At 37.2% G+C, this 20,290-nt stretch overlaps 1 protein-coding gene across 4 annotated transcripts in view; it reads left to right on the forward strand.

Annotated features, from left to right (window-relative positions):
* Nucleotides 1-20,290, forward strand: part of CDH6 (cadherin 6) — a 135,461-nt gene that overhangs the window by 103,563 nt on the left and 11,608 nt on the right. For all 4 annotated transcript variants that reach the window (XM_011513921.4, NM_004932.4, XM_047416591.1 and 1 more), the window contains exons 4-10: nt 41-160; nt 2,216-2,383; nt 4,863-5,050; nt 7,926-8,179; nt 16,070-16,206; nt 18,960-19,081; nt 20,127-20,244. In XM_011513921.4, the coding sequence (XP_011512223.1) occupies nt 41-160; nt 2,216-2,383; nt 4,863-5,050; nt 7,926-8,179; nt 16,070-16,206; nt 18,960-19,081; nt 20,127-20,244 (1,107 nt within the window). The remainder of the gene's footprint in view (nt 1-40; nt 161-2,215; nt 2,384-4,862; nt 5,051-7,925; nt 8,180-16,069; nt 16,207-18,959; nt 19,082-20,126; nt 20,245-20,290) is intronic.

Raw genomic sequence — 20,290 nt, forward strand, 5'->3', positions numbered from 1 at the left:
ACTCTTGATGTGTTTTCAGTTTATATTTCTGTCATTACAGGTACATTTGTTGTCCAAGTCACTGCGACGGATGCAGATGATCCAACATATGGGAACAGTGCTAAAGTTGTCTACAGTATTCTACAGGGACAGCCCTATTTTTCAGTTGAATCAGAAACAGGTTAGACTTTTTGATCTTCCTTTTTATAATCTATAATTTTAATTGACATGCTCAGCTGAGCTAGCATATTTTTAATAAAAATAATCAATGTGATTGGATTTTCTTGCATACATCCACCAAACACTAATGATATATTTGTAAACATGACATCTGAATAATTTTAATCAAAAAATCTGGCAATGAATCTTTCACCCACCCTTTCTATGGAGTAGATTGAGAAAAATTATGTATTGCCTTAGTTTTCTTCCAGTTTGGGGTGAAGCTAAAAGGTAAACCCCTTTTTGATAGTATTGGCCTGTTTACAGATATTCAGAATCTTCTTTTTCTAATTATTTAGTAGGATTGTGTCTCTCTATTCTGCTCTGAAATTAGATGTAGCCATGTGATTTATTTGGGTGAATAAAATGTGATAATGATACAAGTCGCTTCTAATTAAAATTTTCAAAGCTGGTACACAATCTGCCACATTGCTGTCCCTTGCCACAGTGATCATGGAAACCAATGTTGAGATGTAGTCTGTAGCCTGAATGTCTGAGTGGTATGGTGAACAAAGCTACCTGCTTACCTGCTCAGAGCATGAGTGAAAAATAAACTTTAGTTGTGTGAAGCCACTAAGATTTTGCATTGTTTGTTATCAAATCATTGTCTAGCCCATCCTAACTGATGGAGTCCTAATCAAAGTGAAATGCCATCTGGAATCCTCTTTTCAACATCTCATTTTTCTGTTTTCTGTATTTTCTCCACAAAGTAGCAACCTATCTTATAATGATTTGTTTTTAGCAAATATCATTTGTATTGTACAGTAAATTGCACACATATTTTTATCATAATGAGTCAATTTCCTTTTATACATTTTTTAAACATCCATTATTCTTAGTAGAAATCAAAACTTCCCTAGGTTCCCACATCCAGTTGGAAATCTCTGTGTTAAGTGCTGCAATGAACTTGGAAAGAATCCCAAGGAGAAAGAAAATGTTGAGTTGAAAAACAATGAGGATGAAAAATTAGAATTATTCAACTTAAAGGACAAAAGGCTGAGGTGATCTCCTGTATTTAAATAGAGAAGTACTATTATTTGGAGAACAGAAAGCAGCCGCACTTTCACTGAAGGCAGGACTATAGGAATAAAATTGACCTGTTGTCTGAAGTATTCTTGTTAAAAATTTTAAAAAAGATATTTTCGCTTCATTAGTTGTTAAGCACTAGAATGTGTTTCTGCAGAAGGTTATAAAGGCTTCTCCAGTGAAATTTGAAAGAAAGTTAATTTAAGCATAAACCTTACATAGAAATTGGGCAAACTTTTAGAAGTTCTTTAACTATTTTATAACAACCTAACAACAGAGATAAATTTAACCTAACTTAAAAATTTTGGTTGTCATTGGGGCCAGTTGAACTAAAGTTCACGGTCAGCTTTAGGAATTCTAAAAGGCTGAAAGACCTTGAACCTTAATTCCAAAATTCTCTAGAATCATACAAGATGATCATTATGAGAGAATTGATGTTCTATTTTCTAAAGACCATAGTTTTACAATTTAGAAAATCCTCAGAGCATTCGTTATGGTAGGTGTATCTGAGGGATAATTAGCTAATCCATAATGGGAAACTCAACAGTCAGTTCAAGTATGTGGCTTTCCTAACAATTTCCTCATAATTCACCTAAATGTCTTTTATCAAGCATATTATAGTATACCTTTATACCACAAGCCATTTTAGATTCTGCTGTGTCATCTTATAACACTTAATGTTTATACATCCATAATGTAATTATAATATTGAGTGTCTTATAACCCTTAATAGTCTATACTATTGCAGAATCTGACTTGTACTTATTTTTATTCTCCTTGTATTACAGGCTTTTTTTAATGTATCTATCTCCCCTGTGTGGTTGTAATATCCTTCAGTATAAAGGCTGCATATAATTATTTTTATGTCACCATGACATCTGCATAGCATTTTGCATATTGTGGGTGACAGTTTATGTTGTTTGCATAAATCAATGATTCCATAAAGTATTCTTAATGCATCCCTTTGCACTCTTAAATTTCACATCCACAGGTATTATCAAGACAGCTTTGCTCAACATGGATCGAGAAAACAGGGAGCAGTACCAAGTGGTGATTCAAGCCAAGGATATGGGCGGCCAGATGGGAGGATTATCTGGGACCACCACCGTGAACATCACACTGACTGATGTCAACGACAACCCTCCCCGATTCCCCCAGAGTAGGAACATTTGATTGAATGAATTTCTTCAATGTGCTTTTATAAAACTCGAACTTTAAGAATTTTTATTTTCCATTGTCATCATTATTGTCAAAGTTAGTGGACTTAAGAAGAACTGGTACTTTTATTAAAAATGAGTTGACAACATGGCATACACTCAGGAAATGTGAACATTTATGTTCCTCTATTGGTAATTACCTGAGTGATTTCTGCTGTTGTTGTAAAGGCAACATCATTGTTTCATTTCTCCTTATTAAGAAAACTACCACAGACATAAATCTGCTCATGCAGAACATATGTATACAAGCATGCTGCAATTTGTTGGAAAAAATTTGACTTTATGTTTTGTGAATTTAATCAGGCATGTAATCTCTTTTAAATCCTCACAAAGCTTTATAAGGGGAGGATTTATTATTTTACTGTTTCTAAAAATACAACTGTGGAAGTAACTAGGTACTTAATCCATTTGTAATCATAAGTCGTTTTCTACATTATGGTTAGTTGAGATACCGAAAGTTGTCTCCAAAATCATTAACTCTAGTGATTAGATAAAAGGAAGAAGAAGGAAAAACAACCTCCATGAATACCAACTTGGTATCAGGAGTATGCTAAAAATTCTCACATAGAGCTACCCAAGAGGGAACTAGTTTTAACGTAACTTTTCATCCAGGAACAAAATCCCTTTGGGACCATGATCTCCTACGAAAGCTATCTCAATTATTCAATAGAAAACCCACTCATTCTATCATGACATTTTAAAAAAACTAATCAGCTGATACGGGCTTCCTTTAGGGTAGAGCTATACATGGATCAATAGGAAGTAGTTTTATTTTCTTTATTTTTTCAAGTTTTTAATCAGAGTTAGCTAAATGCAAAAAGATCAGAGCTAATTAAAGAATATCTCATATAACAAGTAGAAGAAAGGTTCTATGAGGCCTACCATTTCCCTTACAGAGGCCTGAAATGAAAACTATTAGGATCACCAACAGTTTGCCCAAAACCTACTTTTTAATATGGAGATTCCCTGGGGAAGAATAACATAAGGATTCCCCCGCACCCTGGTACCACAGGAATTTGTAACTCACTCTGCTCTGCTTAGATAGCCTGTGACTTGTTAATGAGCAATATGCCAAGGCAAGGGAGGGAGAAGTTAGAAAGGGGCAGGAGGCCCTAAAAATGGAAGTTGAAAACACTAGAGAATACTTAACCTGGGGCACACCAACTCATGCCTGTAATCCCAGAGCTTTGGGAGGCTGAGGGAGGAAGACTGTGTGAGGCCAAGAGTTCAAGAGCAGCCGAGGCAACATAGTGAGACCCTGTGTCTACAACAAGTAAAAAGAAATTAGTCAGGCACGATGGTGTGCACCTGTAGTCCCAGCTACTCAGAAGGCTGAGGTGGGAGGATTGCTTGAGCCCAGAAGTTTGAGGCTGCAGTGAGCCATGATCACGCCACTGCACTCCAGCCTGAGCAACAGGAGGAAATCCTGTCCAAAAAAAATGCTCTTTTTGAGTTACGTACTTGAGTCAAAAAAAGTTTAAAAATTTTTTTAACCTGCTTTATCATTTTACCAAGTATGAACTCAAGGGATTACTATTACTGAACGCCTACATTTTAGTAGTGCCATAGACTGTTTAAATTCTTTTCAAATCATTTGTATGAATGGTTAACAAAATGTAATTGAAAAGGGTAGAATAAGCCTTGGTTTTACTATTTTATATTTTTGGTGCTAAGTATATCATGGCCTGGCCAATCTAAACTGAAACTCATATGTAGTCTCTCTAAACTAAGTTTGCAACAGGAGCATATTTTTTTTAAAAAGTGTCTATATAGGAAACATAGGTTTCAAATTAGAATTACAAATATAAGTATGGGAGAAATCTATGCATAAAATAATAAAATTTAAGAGTCAAAAGAAAAAAATTAGGAGTTTTATCACTTAATGTATTTACCTATATCTCTAACTCTACAACTAGGTCCAGCTCCATGTATGAATAAAAGAATATCTACCTGGATACAGCCTCCAAGTTGCTATAATTTCTTTCCACCTCCAGCTATTATTAGCAACGGTAGAAAGAACTCTTTTAAAGAATACCTAGTAATTAACTAAAAGTCGCAGTTCAGATTAAATTCTTCTCTACTCTTTCTGTTAGATGAAGTTAACAAAGGGCTTTGAAACCTTCTATGCCTCCTGTAGCCATTCAGTTGTTCTCACAATCACACCATAAACTTTGGAGCCTGTTTACAGACAAGAAAAGTGTTCTCCATTTGCAAGGAAACAGGTCATGAAATAGAAGAAACATTCTTAACAACCACGAAAGTAGACATAAGAAGAACAGGCCACCATTAGTTATTTTGAGGAAAGCACACATCTACCTGATGGTAATGTCTTAAAGAACTGTTAGAGAATAGGTTTTGTTTTTATGATGATAAGAGTGTGGTTAGTCTATGTTTGACTTATATCTGTCTGGTGATTAATAGGTACATACCAGTTTAAAACTCCTGAATCTTCTCCACCGGGGACACCAATTGGCAGAATCAAAGCCAGCGACGCTGATGTGGGAGAAAATGCTGAAATTGAGTACAGCATCACAGACGGTGAGGGGCTGGATATGTTTGATGTCATCACCGACCAGGAAACCCAGGAAGGGATTATAACTGTCAAAAAGGTAATGCCGCTTCTTAAACACCATACAGAGTGAACCCATTTACTTTTCTCCAGTTCCTAAGTTACCAGGGGCAATTATATCTCACATAAACATTCCTTTAGATTTTTATTTTACTTATTATTTTCAGAAAAATGCCAGTTCTGGCCGGGCATGGTGGCTCCCGCCTGTAATCCCAGCACTTTTGGGGGCCAAGGCAGGAGGATCTCTTGAGTCCTGGAGTTTGAGACCAACATGGCAAAACCTATCTCTGTTAAAAATACAAAAATTAGCCAGGCGTGGTGGTGGGTGCCTGTAATCCCAGCTACTCTGGAGACTGAGGCAAGAGGATCGCTTGAGCCTGGGCAGCAGAGGTTGCAGTGAGCCAAGATCACACCACTGCACTCCAGCCTAGGTGACAGAGTGAGACTCTGAAAAAAAAAAAAAAAGAAGAAAGAAGGAAGGAAGGAAGGAAGGAGAAAGAAAGAAAGAAAGAAAGAAGAAAGAGAGAGAGAGAGAGAGAGAGAAAGAAAGAAAGAAAGAAAGAAAGAAAGAAAGAAAGAAAGAAAGAAAGAAAGAGAAAGAAAGGAAGAAAGGAGGGAAGGAAGGAAGGAAAGAAAGAAAGAAAAAAAGAAAGAAAGAAAGAAAGAAAGAAAGAAAGAAAGAAAGAAAGAAAGAAAGAAGGAAAGAAAAGAAAGAAAGAAAGAAAGAAAACCAATTCTAATGACACTGAGATCTCTTGGGTTGGCTTTCAGGAACCTAAAATGATATGCATTCATGTTAATTCTATACATCCAATGAATTTTTATTAAGAACCTCCTAAGTAAATAAGTAATATAAACAAATGATATTCGTAAAAATATATAAAGTAAATACTTTAAATGAACAGTAAATAAACAGTGCCAGACATTGCTCTAGGTGCTGGAGGTGCACTGGTACATACAACAGATGTTCTCTGCCCTCATGATACTTCCAGTCTAGGGGGAAAGAGACAAGGAGCCAAGTAAACAAACAAACAAACAAATATACAACTACAAATTGTGATGCATACTGTGAAGGAAGAGAGTACAGCAAGCAGTGATCAAGATGACTTGCATCACAAAAAGAGGATGTATAAAGACCACAAGTTTAAATTAAATACCATAACAAATTTAAATTAAATACCATAAATTTCCTGGTACCTCTTTAGCTACTTTTTGGAACACAACAATAAATCTTTTGTGTTCTGATTTCTATTTTTTTCCAAAGTACTGGTTCATTATTTTATCCCCCAAATTGTGTAGCACCACAGAGCAGCATACAAAAATACGGCAAAAATTAAAAACCAATGAATTGTATGCTTCAAGACTAAAAATATTAATTTTGGCTAACTTCTTATGATTTCACTTTTATCATGTATGGTGTAATATTTTCTCTCTCCTTTAGCATACTATAATCTTTTCTGGTAAATAAAAGCATCGGTGGATGTAAATAACAAGAGATTTTTTTTTCCTCCCAAGCTTTGGATTACGTGTCTTAATATCTGGAAACACAATAAAACATGTTTAAGTGACACTCAGACTAATGTTTTAAACTATAATATAATTAGGAAGCCCATTAGTGTGCATTAACCTTTTTAATTTTCTTGGTGCCTTATCAGATTCGAACTGAAATTTTGCCTAGACGACTAAATCACATTCACCAACGTCTAGATTAATTGTGTTTCTAGTGAGCCTTGTCATATTATCATCTAAAACTAAAAGTCAGCAATAAGCATTTGGGTTCACCATGTCTCCAAAAGCAGACCTACTTTTCCTAAAGACCCTTGACAACAATGATCACTACTTTCTTTGACAAATAATTAGCCCAATGCCCTTTTCAGGATACCATTTGGAATATTTCATTACCTCATGCAAAAAACAACAACAACAAAAAAAAAAAACTTTAATCTGTGTTGTCTGAATGATGATGAGGGATTCACAATGCAAACCTGTGGCTCTCAATTCTGGCTGCACCACAGAATCACCGGGGGAAGTGTTTAATAATGTAGATATTAATCTGCACGCCCAGATATGTTGGTTTAATGGTCCACGCTGGGGCCAAGACATTGGCCAGTTTTAAACACTCATCAGTGCAATTAAAGCCAGATATGGCCAGGCACCGTGGCTCACGCTTGTAATCCCAGCACTTTGGGAGGCCGAGGCAGGTGGATCACGAGTTCAAGAGATCGAGACCATCCTGGCCAACATGATGAAGCCCTGTTTCTACTAAAAATACAAAAATTAGCTGGGCCTGGTGGTGAGTGCCTGTAGTCCCAGCTACTCGGGAGGCTGAGGCAGGAGAATCACTTGAATCCGGGAGGCAGTGGTTGCAGTGAGCCGAGATCATGCCAATGCACTCCAGCCTGGCGACAGAGCGAGACTCCGTCTCAAAAAAAAAAAAAAAAAAAAAAGCCAGATGTGAGAACATCTGACATGGAATAACCCACTGTGTATTTGCCAACTTGCCCCTGATGGCCCCCTCTAGTGAAACATGAGTATTTTTTAAGTGGGGACAGTGTGGGCTCTACCAGACTCCTGCTTCCAAGTGCCCTTCCTGCCTGGTATGATGCCTTGTACCTCACTACCCACTTTTAAGTCAACAGCAGGCATGGTCTCAGCCCATACATTTTTCAGGGCTGTGTGGCTTCTGAACTCCTTCACAAACTTTATAATCGTTTCCTGCCTAACAGCCTAGATATAAGAAAAAAAATTACATCTTATCTTTTCTCCCTTTGCCCAATATCACACAAATGTGTTTCTCTAAGCAATATGATCGCATTCATTTATCAGTGGTTTACACCAAAAATGTTTCGTGTCTTGGCTTTCTGTGTCTTGGCTGCTTTAAATATGTCACTTCTTCCCCCACCCCCAACCTCAAGCTCTTGGACTTTGAAAAGAAGAAAGTGTATACCCTTAAAGTGGAAGCCTCCAATCCTTATGTTGAGCCACGATTTCTCTACTTGGGGCCTTTCAAAGATTCAGCCACGGTTAGAATTGTGGTGGAGGATGTAGATGAGCCACCTGTCTTCAGCAAACTGGCCTACATCTTACAAATAAGAGAAGATGCTCAGATAAACACCACAATAGGCTCCGTCACAGCCCAAGATCCAGATGCTGCCAGGAATCCTGTCAAGTAAGCACACTTCTGCGACATGTCTCTTTCATAAGCTTCAGTCAATTTATATTCAAATATCTGCCTGCACTTGAGAAAAGATGAATCCCTTTTGTTCCAATTAGACAACTGTGTTTTCCTGAAAAAACTATTCTAAACAGCACCTTTAACTCTCTTTGCTCACTGCATAAATATTATTTTGGCAGAAGTACAGTAGTCCCTTTTTATCCCTGGGGGATTGGTTCCAGGCCCACCCCCATATTAAAATTCACAAATCCGGAAGTTCCTTATAGGAAATGACACAGATTTGCAAATAACCAAAGCTCATCCTCCCCCATACTTTAAGTCATTTCTAGATTACTTATAGTACCAATTCAATGTAAATTCTATGTAAATAGTTATTATCTTGATGTTTTTATTTGTAGTTTTTTTATTGTTTGCTTTTTGTTTTTTCCAAACATTTTTTATTTCCAGTTGGTTGAATCCACATTTGCAGAACCTGTGGATACACAGGGCTGACTGAATAAACCTTAAAAAAACACAAATTTGGGAAGGAAAACAAGCTATAAGGAGTTTACTGCTTAAGTAGAAGTAGTATAAGGTGATGCAGCTGAATAACCTGGGATTATTTTTCAAGATTTGAGATTTTTTTAAGTGTAAGATTTGTCAAAGAGTGGCATAGAAAAAGTATGATTTTTAACAAATCAAGCACTGAGCTTGACAGCCTGTTTTTCAAGTGTAGAAAAACCTATCATGTAACACTTAAAAGACAGAATTATCCTCCATTCGGATGGTTTTTCCTTTTGTAGATGTAGATAAAAACAAGAATCATTTCATGATATACGTCTGTGAAATCCTAGGGAAATTAATACAACAGAGTCCAAATGTATGCTACGTAAACTAATTCTGTTTTCCCTGTGCTTTCCTTACACCTTAGTTGTAAATCATGTTGCAGTAAGGCCTTATTGCTCTTTGGGACCACTGATGCTTCAGTATTCTCGGATCTTAACAGGAAAATGCTGGAGTCAACCAACCTCCAGCCTTCAGCCAGTAGCTTAGTTGACTAAATGAGAAAAGTGCTAGCTGGGCACGGTGGCTCACGCCTGTAATCCCAGCACTTTGGGAGGCCAAGGTGGGCAGATCACTTGAGGTCAGGAGTTCAAGAAAAGTGCTAGACCAGAATAGCATTGTGTCAATTACTCCCCATAAACAAAGTAAGCAGACTGAAAAACTAGAGAAACTCTTGCCAATGAGTTCACAAATAGATTCTGGTCAAGGTGCCAGCCAAGTGCCAGGTACATTCTAGGCACTAGGGAATACAGCCCTCATCCCATGAAGCTTACATTCTAATTGGGGCAAGCAGAAATAGACAAACAGTAAATATGTAATACGTCAGGCAAAAGTAAATTTTAAGTGGAAAATAAGGCAGAATAAGGAAATAAAGAGCACCTGGAGTACTATTTTAGATAATGGGGTCAGATTTGACATTCTTGGTAGGGGACCATTTAGTAAAGATTTGAATGAAATTAAAGGGCGAACCATGTTGATGCTGGGGGAAGAACATTCCAAGAAGAGAGAAAAGCAAGGGTAAGTCTGATACCAGAGCTTGCTTGACAGTTGAAAGAACAGCGAGGAGGCCTCCGCAGCTGGAAGAGAGTGAGAGAGGGAGGCGAGGTCAGATATGAGGCCCCAGAGAGGTTTGATAGCTGATGAGGAGTGTAGCAGGTCCTGTAGGGCTTTGTAGTTGATGGTAAAGACTGGATTTTATTCTGATTGAGATGAGAAGCCACTGGAAACCTTTGAGTATAAGAGTTAACTAATCTAAAACTCCGTTTTAAAAGGATAACACTAGCTGCTACGTGAAGAATATTATTGCAGATAAAAGAATGTGGGGCTCTAAGGCAGCAGTCATTTTCTTACTTTTTCCCAGTTGAGCCTTTGTTCAAATGAAACCTTATGACAAGCCCCACATCTCAAACACAAAAATTCCTGGCTTACTTTCAGGGAACAATTTTAAATCACTGGGCAAATAAACTCTTGTTTTAGCATCCTACTGGAATATCTACAAGACACTTTGAATTGGGCTGTGGTCAGCCATGTGAGCTCCATGGACCAAGTGTTTCTCCACATACATTTAATATTGTTAATAAGGAAATGAATGTGGTTTTCACTAATATAGCTTTCACTAGTATAGTTTTCACTAATATATGTGTAAGTATTTTCACAACTACTCTCTCTTGGAGTTTGTTGTAACTGCATAAGGAAAAAAATCTTAGCAAGTAAGTATCAAATTCAATTTGAAAGTGTTAATGCTAGAAGTTTACAAATATGAGCTTTGGTTATCTCCTTGATAGATCAACTTTTTTTTAATTAAAAGAGAGAATGTTTTGCGAATTCAGGCAATATATTTCCATATCTATATTACTTTTCATACCAAATACCATTTTTACCCACTGCATTATTTTCTGTTTTATGAAAGAAAGTAGTTAGCTTGTCAGATTATGTTGGCTGTCAGCTAATTTTTAAGTTTTTTGCTGCCAGCCTTTCCTTGGTACATATGGATTTGATACGTAGATATAGATTTAAGACTAGAAATACTTATAGATATATTGGTATATAAATGGTATTCCAGTGCCCTTTTATAGGATAAAATTCATTCTTATATTAGAAAAATCCATTCATACATAATTTTTGATTATTCAAGACATAAATGTTGAACAACTAAGTGCTAGACAATATGGTAGGTGAAAAATTAACACTAGAAAATTCTTCCCCAGAGCACTGATTTATCATTACACAAGCACAAATCTTTAATTCTTTAATCACATAAAATTATTTTCTTCTAATAACTTCATCTCAAATTCCCTTTGGTTTCTGTGAAAGAATCTTATAATATGTCACTATACATACAAATTATGAAAAATTTATGCAAACATACATCCTTTTCAGGAAGAACCACAAATCTTCCTGACTTGAGGATACATTAGAAGGCAAATTATTTAATCACAGAATACAATGAAGTCCTGAAAAAAAAAAAAAAGAGCTACCTAGCAGAAGGATCTGCTATGATCATGATGGGATTTTATCTTGTTTCTTATCAGTGATAATTACAATTAATGTGACTGGACAATAAATATCCTTGATATAAATTTAAATTACCTTGGAAGGAAAAAACAACAAACAAGCAAGGCTTGTGTACAAGCAACTTTCCTGAATGATGTGGGCATTTTAGATTTTCTATTAATTTTTAAATGTCCCAATAAAAGGAAAAAATACAATTTTCCTATTTCCTAAATAGTTACTATCTCTTTCAAATTGAAAGCTGCCTTCAACTAAAAATTCTCACCTCTTACCCTTTATGTCAAGGTTTGATAGGAAAATATAATTACTTGTAAAATTTAAAACTACAATGGGGGAAAAGACACAAAGAATAAAACAAGATTATTGCTGTATATTATTGTAACAGCTTACAGAAGCAGCACATCTTAAGCTTAGCATTTTCCATGAGAAAAAATATATATCTAGATAATTATTAAATTTCTTATGAAGTCTATGAATATTGAGATTTCCTTTTTGTAATTAACGATGTGCTATAAATATTTATCATTCTCAAATTTAAAATAAGAAATGATCAAGTAAGTACAATGCTGTTGCCTGAATTCTTAATAAATATTGATTCATGACATAAATGGCAAAACAATAGCTGTTTCATTTGTTTCAACCCTTTTGATAATAAAAACATAAGTTTATGTACATTGAAACTGAAACTCCAATTCAACTTGATATTATACCCATTGTGAACTTCATTAATTCTCTTTAAAATCAGGTTTAAATGGCCTGTGATAATTGAATATCTATTTCATTTAGACACTCACTAGATAACAAAAATAAATTTTATGAAGATAAAATATATTGTTCATTATAATTCACTACTTGTGTTTTAAACCAAAATAATACATTCAAGTAGAATCTTGGGTGCAGTAAACTATGGCAAGTTAGTTACAAGGGTTTATTTTTCTTAGAGCACCCATAATAATTCCACGTATATCTGCCTAGTCAGGTCATTTACTTATATTGAATTTCTACTGAGGCAATGTTTTTAACCTCATAAAGTTTTAAAAATCCAGCTGAAATGGGCAGTTTTTTTTTCTAATGGCCTTAACATATCAACTTTCTTCAGTTTTCTCTGTAATACCCCACCCCCACCCTGCTCATAAACATAGTGTATTAGTCCATTTTTAAACTGCTATAAAGAACTACCTGAGACTTAGTCATTCATGAAAAGGTTTAATTGACTCCCATTTCCACAGGCTGTACAGGAAGCATGGCCGAGAGGCCTCAGGAAACTTACAATCATAGCAGAAGGAGAAGAGGGAAAGGAAGGGGAAAGTGCCACACACTTTTGAACCATCAGATCTCATGAGAACTCACTCACTATCACAATAACAGCAAGGGGGAAGTCTGCCCCATGATTCAGTCACCTCCCACCAGGTGCCTCCTCTGACACATGGGGATTACAATTTGAGATCAGATTTGGGTGGGGACACAGAGCCAAACCATATCATTCTTCCCTTGGCCCCTCCCAAATCTCATGTCCTTTTCACATTTCAAAACCAATCATGCATTCCCAACAGTCCCCCAAAGTCTTAACTCATCCCAGCATTAACTCAAAAGTCCAAGTCCAAAGTTTCATCCAAGACAAGACAGATCCTTTCAGTCTATGAGCCTGTAAAATAAAAAACAAGTTAGTTACTTCCATACAATGGGGTTACAGGTATTGGGTAAATGTTTCCACTCAAAAAGGGAGATATTGGCCACAGGCCCCATGCAAGACTGAAATCCAGCAGCGCAGTCGTTAAATCCTAAGGTTCCAAAATAATCTCCTTTGACTCCATGTCTCACCCCTAGGGCACACTGATAAAGGAGTGGGCTCCCATGGCCTTGGGCAGCTCCATTCCTGTGGCTCTGAAAGATACAGCCCCCGAGGCTGCTTTCATGGGCTGGCATTAAGTGCCTGCAGCTTTCCCAGGCTCATGGTGCAAGCTATTGGTGGATCCACCATTCTGGGGTCTGGAAGAGAGTGGCCCCCTTCTCACAGCTCCACTAAGCAGTGCCCCAGTGTGGACTCTGTGTGGGGGCTCCAACCCCTCATTTTCCCTCCACACTGCTCCAGTAGAGGTACTCCATGATGTCTCCACCACTGCAGCAGATTTCTGCCTAAACATTCAGGCATTTCCATAAATCCTCTGAAATCTAGGTGGGGGTTCCCAAACCTCAACTTCTTGCCTTCTGCACAGCTTCAGGCCCAACACCATGTAGATGCCACCAAGCCTTGGGTCTTGCACCCTCTGAAGCCACAGCCTGAGCTGTACCCCAGAATGGTGGATCCACCAATAGCCACAGCTCGGGCTGGAGTGGCTGGAACACAGGATGCCATGTCCCAAGGCTGCACAGAGCAGCTAGGCCCTAGGCCTTGCCCATAAAACCATTTTTTTTCCTCCTATGCCTCTGGGCCTGTGAGGGAAGGGGCTGCCATCAAGGTCCCCGAAATGCCCTGGAGACATTTTCCCCCTTGTCCTGGCTATTAACATTCGGCTCCTCTTTAGTTAGGGAAATTTCTGCAGCAGGCTTGAATTCCTCCCCAGAAAATGGATCTTTCTTTTCTACCACATGGTCACCATTTTAAATATAAGTTCCAGTTTCACATCATCTCTTTGTTCACACATATGAGCATACACTTTAAGAAACAGCCAGATCACTTCTTGAATGCTTTGCTGCTTAGAAACTTCTTCTGCCAAATATCCTAAATCATCTCTCTCGAGTTCAAAGTTCCACAGATTCTAGCGTAGAGGCAAAACACCACCAGTCTCTTTGCTAGAGCAAAGCAAGAGTGACCTTTAATCCAGTTCCCAATAAGTTCCTCATGTCCCTCTGAGACCTCCTCAGCCTGGACTTCACTGTCCATATCATTGTCAGCATTTTGGTCAAAACCTTTCAACAAGTCTCTAGGAAGTTCCAGACTTTCCCACATCTTTCTTTCTTCTTCTGAACCCTCCAATCTGTTCCAACCTCTGCCTGTTACCCAGTTCCAAAGTTGCTTCCACATTTTCAGCTATCTTTATAGCAGTCCCCCACTTTCCTGGTACCAATTTTCTGTATTAGTTCATTCTCACACTGCTATAAAGAACTACCTGAGACTGCGTAATTTGTGAAGAAAAGAGGCTTAATTGACTCACAGTTCTACAGGCTGTACAGGAAGCGTGGCTAGGAGGCTGCAGAAAACTTGTAATCATGGCGAAATGTAAAGGGGAAGCACTACACTTTTAAACCATCAGATCTCATGAGAATTCACTCACTATCACAAGATCAGCAAGGGAGAAGTCTGCCCCCATGATACAATCACCTCCCATCACGCCCCTCCTTTGACACATGGGGATTACAATTCGAGATTAGATTTGGGTGGGGACACAGAGCCAAACCATATCACATAGCTATTCTAAAAACTAGTAATACATTTACAAATAAGACAACATTTCTCAAAATCCACTAGTCTTCCATCAGTATTAGGGTTGGAATGTTTGGTTTCCAAATGCTTCTCTTGGTTTCCCTCAAATTTATTCAAACTCTCCTTCTTAAATATTTATCAAGTTCCTAGTCTGTTCCAGGCACCACTGTGGTCTCCCACTGATTTAAGTGATGTAAGTGATTCTGTCTTTAGTGTTTTTCTTCCTCCACTGGACATTGTTTTCTTAGACAGCTGAATAGGAAATCTGGGATCAGTCCAGATCTTAATCTAGAGCTTCAGACTAGATATCTCTTCCTGAACTTTTCTCAGGCACCTCAGCTTCAGCATAGCAAAAATGGAACTTACCCATCTTCCCCGAATCCTGTTTTTCACTCCTTTTTTCTCTGTTTGTGGCAGCACCGTTCAACCATTCTCCTCAATTCAACCAGTGATCTTTATTAACAATGATTTAGATTGTGGCATTCCCCTGCTTAAAACCTTTTGTAGCCAGTCGTGGTGGTTCATGACTGTTATCCCAGCACTTCGGGAGGCCGAGGTAGGTGGATCACTTGAGCTCAGGAGTTCAAGACCAGCCCGGGCAAAATGGCCAAATCCTGTCTCTACAAAAAATTAGCAGGGCATGGTGACACGCACCTGTGGTCCCAGCTACTCTGGAGGCTAAGGTGGGAGGATCGCTCAAGCCTGGGAGGTCGAAGTTGCAGTAAACCAAGATCATGCCACTGCACTCCAGCCTGGGTGACAGAGTGAGAGAGTGAGACCCCATCTCAAAACAAACAAACAAACAAAAAAACCCTTGGGTAGATTCGCATTGCATCTAGAATAAATTCCAACTCCTTATCACAGCCTTCTTCTGCAGTCTAGACTCTGGCTCTCTCACCAATGTCATCTCCTATCTCCTTCTTCTGCCTCACTAACCTTGGCCACACTAGCCATCTTTTGCTTATTTCAACAGATGATTTTTAAAATTAAATGGAAAGTAGAAAAATAACCAAAACCCTACATATGCATACAAGCACACACACACACACACACACACACATTAAAGTTCTCAGGTTGTAAAAACTTGAGTTAAAAATGAAACAATTACTATATAAACTTGATCCAAATTTATACATATTAGAAAAGAAAATTTAATGGTGATCTTCAAAGTCATGCAACTTGTCTAGTGAGTTTACTATTAAGACCTCCATTGTGAAGAACTAATTTCTCAAAATATTTTACTTAATGTCAGGTTGTAGATATTCAAATATGCACTAGAGATGGAAAAAAATTTATGCCACAGATACTCTGGGATATGATGTGTACCAGATGTTTTATGATGTTCTATGATGTGAGAATAGGAAATAGAAAGAAAAGCCTTTCTTAATTCCACTCTGCATTTTCAGGTACTCTGTAGATCGACACACAGATATGGACAGAATATTCAACATTGATTCTGGAAATGGTTCGATTTTTACATCGAAACTTCTTGACCGAGAAACACTGCTATGGCACAACATTACAGTGATAGCAACAGAGATCAGTAAGTCCTACCTAATACCGCTGCTGTCCCCTATTAATAGACTGAGTGTCCCAGCAAGGGCTGGTGGAGCGTAGCTTGTCACCATGTATTGACAATCCCACTTGATATATATTGAGGGAAAAAGCCCTGGAGTGGTTTGCAGTAATGTTTCTTCTAGATATACATTGGCTCACACATAAATGGAGAGGCAACCATGGAAGTTCTGTGGTTTGGAAACAATAAAATGGGAATGTATCTCACAAATGAGATTGAATTGGTACTCGGTGGATTTAATTCCAAAAAAGCTTATAAATTAGAACATTACATAAACAGCTGAAAAAAACAGACTCTCAGTCAGACACTGTGTGTGGGGGCAAAAGATGAGAGGGGTCAAGTATATTGTAAAATGTGGGCATTGTTTAGAAAATTTTAGATATCAATTCTCTAGCTTACTATAGAATTTTTATTTCAAAGTCTTTACAGAATTAAGAGAGATAAATTATCACTTTTCTATGGTATACCAAAGTGAGTAATACAAGCCATCAAGTAATCAGTAAAATGATTAGAATGAATTTTATGGTAGCCCCCATGAAATTGAAGGCAAAGAACAATAGTGCCAAAAGAATGCTTCAAATAAAATGATTACACACAATGAAAACTAATGTAGATGGTCAATACAATGTGCAGGCTGAAGAACATAAGTGAAAAATGATCTTTTTTTAATTTTTTTATTATACTTAAGTTCTAGGGTACATGTGCACAATGTGCAGGTTTGTTACATATGTATACCTGTGCCATGTTGGTGTGCTGCACCCATTAACTCGTCATTTACATTAGGTATATCTCCTAATGCTATCCCTCCCCCCTCCCCCCACCCCACAACAGGCCCCGGTTAAAATAGAATTTCAATGTTTAAAACTAGGCTTCTAAATTACAGCTCACTTTTTAGTGTTTGTGTTTAATTTTAAAAGTTCTAAACATTTTTAGCTCACTTTGGGTATCTAGTGTGAAATAGTCCATATCGAATAGTTTATTACATTTGTATTCTCTGTCAATATAACTCATGAGATTTGAAGTGACTAAAGGATATTTGGTAGAATAGTAACCAATATGGGCAAAATGAAGCATTGCTTTTAGATAGTGATAAGGACAGCACATTAGAAATTAGTTAGGTAGGAATTTGCTCTTCAGAATTTTTCAAGATTTATCTTGAAGTTCATGTTAATTTATGTTATGGGACTGATGTAGATACCAAAGACAGAGCATCTTTAAAGTTTTAAAATTATAAATTTATTTCCCACTGAAAATGACCATTTTTCCTAAGACAATGAAATTTTATTTTTTACCAAAGCAGTCATTTCATAAGTATTTTAATCTTTGTGCCTTAAAAAAAGTTTTTAAGATTTAATGTTTCTATGACACATTTGAAAGTATTGGTGACTATCTCTTGAAAGTTAATATTCAGCTGCTCTAACTTTCAAAGAATAATATGAGTAAAATTTTAGACATTTTAAAGAATCTTACTGTCTAATCTTCTTAACAACCTTTGATATAACAGAAACCAAAAGCTTGTGTAAAACCAGCTCCCACTCACCTCGGGGCCTTTGCATATACTGATTCCTCGACCTGAAGAGCCAGAAATATTCACATGGCTTAAACCTTCTCTTCATTCATGTCTCTGGGCAAATGATATCTCATCAGAGAAGCAGTCCTTGGTCATCATTCTAAGTAACACCTCTATTTCTCTCAATCCTTTTTCCCTACTTAATTTCTCTATAGCACTTACCATCTGACACATTATATATTTATGAGTTTATGGTTTGTCCATCCCCATTACAATAAAGCTCCAGGAAACAGGATCTTTGTTATGTTTCCTACGTGCCCCAACATCGCAAATAGAGGCTGCTATATATTAGGTATTAGATGCTCACTAAATAATTACAAAGTGAAAAAACAAATAGACATACAAGTGAAGTAAATGAAGAGAGGTGAGGTGATAGATTCTAACTCCTGATCCTTACACTAGAAATCTGTCTTCCATACTGTGCTAGAAGATTATCACAGAAGGCAACCAAAATACTTCATTTATCTCAGGTCTGCAAACATTGATTCCGCTTTATCATTAATTCCAAATGAACAGCCTGGGCTTTCAGCCTGGGCTTGGAGTCAGACAGATCCAAGTTTGAACCTGGACTTCACTCTTTACCGTCTCTGTAAACACAGATAAATTACTTAACTTCTCCATGTCTCAGTTTCCTCATCTATAAAATGGGGGCAGTACCTCTGTCTACCTCAGAAGTTTGTGAAAATTAAATAACGTAATACAGCAAAGTGTTTAGCATGACATCTTGCTCTCGTTCAGCATTCAAACTAAACCACTAAGACTAATAACTATCCTTTGGTCTTCTGGTGGTTCATTCATTTTCCCTCTCCTTCCTTTTGTCCATATGCTCCCCATCTGCCTGCTTCCTTGAAAATCTACCTCTAAAATGCCTTTCTTGGTTTTGTGTTATCTTAAGGTTTATTATACAGTTGAACTATATCAACACAAGTGGCTTTGTCACCCATGTATCTCTAACAGGTGCATCCAACTCCAGATGTACCAAACAATCTAATTGTACTTTTTGTGACCACACTGGTACTTAATGCCCAGTAGTACAGCAGCTTGGGGAATCTGTGCATGAATGAGAATGAAGGAGTTGAGCGGATGTTGTCTAAAGGGAATCGGCAATCAACATGTAAATGCCTTTTTCTTTCTTTTTGGTTTGTGACAGATAATCCAAAGCAAAGTAGTCGAGTACCTCTATATATTAAAGTTCTAGATGTCAATGACAACGCCCCAGAATTTGCTGAGTTCTATGAAACTTTTGTCTGTGAAAAAGCAAAGGCAGATCAGGTGAGTTTCATTAAAAAGTATATTCAAGTTGAACATCAGATTAATTTAGATCTTCTTATCATTCAGATGATTCACAGAGCTGAAGGAGAGTTGTGAATTATCTATGAAGTGAATGCTACGGAAATTAATACTATAAATAAGAACCAGGACTTACATATGAGAACTAACAGTTTCGAAGAACTGGAAGTTCATCAAAGACTGAGGCTGATTCCAAATCGATCTTAAGTTTTTATTAAATAGATTAGTCTCACCTTTATTGGAAAAATCTTTATTGGTGAACAGATAGTTTAATTACCATATGTACTTGAAGTAATAACTACAACATACTTTATAATTGCCTATAATTCATGATTTCACTTATTTACATTGACCATCTGTGTAAGTAATACAAATTCATGAATGTTTTATTGTTTTACACATTTGTCCCCACATGAAATAGTTCTTTGCTGCCAGTGATATAAAAATTATGTTTCAGTTTGTGAAAATAGAAGTACACTGTTAAAGTACATGTGCAAGTAGAAAGCTGAAGTTACTGTGTTCTATATACTTCTTTTTCATTTTTTGCAAGTTGATAGGTTATGTAATGCTAAGAGTGCATTTCTAGACAGACTGTCCAAAGAGCACTTCTACTTTGTGAAGTTGCAATGTTGTCACCGACTATTGGGATATTTTATAGCTTTGCATCACTCAAGGCTAAATGTTTCTCAATCAGGGTGATTTCCTCCCTGGGGATATTTACAGTATCTTGAGAGAGTTTGATTGTCACACTAGAAGGTGCTACTGATATCTCGTGGGTAGAGGCCAGGGTGGCTGCTAAACATCCTACAATGCACAGGACATCCTACAGTGTCCCCACAACAAAGAATCATTCCCTGCCCTTTGGCTTTCTAACCCATAATAGAGCAGATTCACTGTATATTACTTAAAGGCTATCATTTTTATAATTAAATTTTTAAATCATTTTGTCAAGCAATTTATTGCAAAACGGTAAGAAACACTTTTGAGTTATCAAAATTTTATGGCAGCGTTTTGGTTTTTCTCTTAGTTGATTCAGACCCTGCATGCTGTTGACAAGGATGACCCTTATAGTGGACACCAATTTTCGTTTTCCTTGGCCCCTGAAGCAGCCAGTGGCTCAAACTTTACCATTCAAGACAACAAAGGTAAATGAGTTCAAGTTACCTTCTCTATCTATCTCCATCTATATCC

Source organism: Homo sapiens, chromosome 5 (genome assembly GCF_000001405.40).
Source record: "Homo sapiens chromosome 5, GRCh38.p14 Primary Assembly".
Classification (NCBI taxonomy): domain Eukaryota; kingdom Metazoa; phylum Chordata; class Mammalia; order Primates; family Hominidae; genus Homo; species Homo sapiens.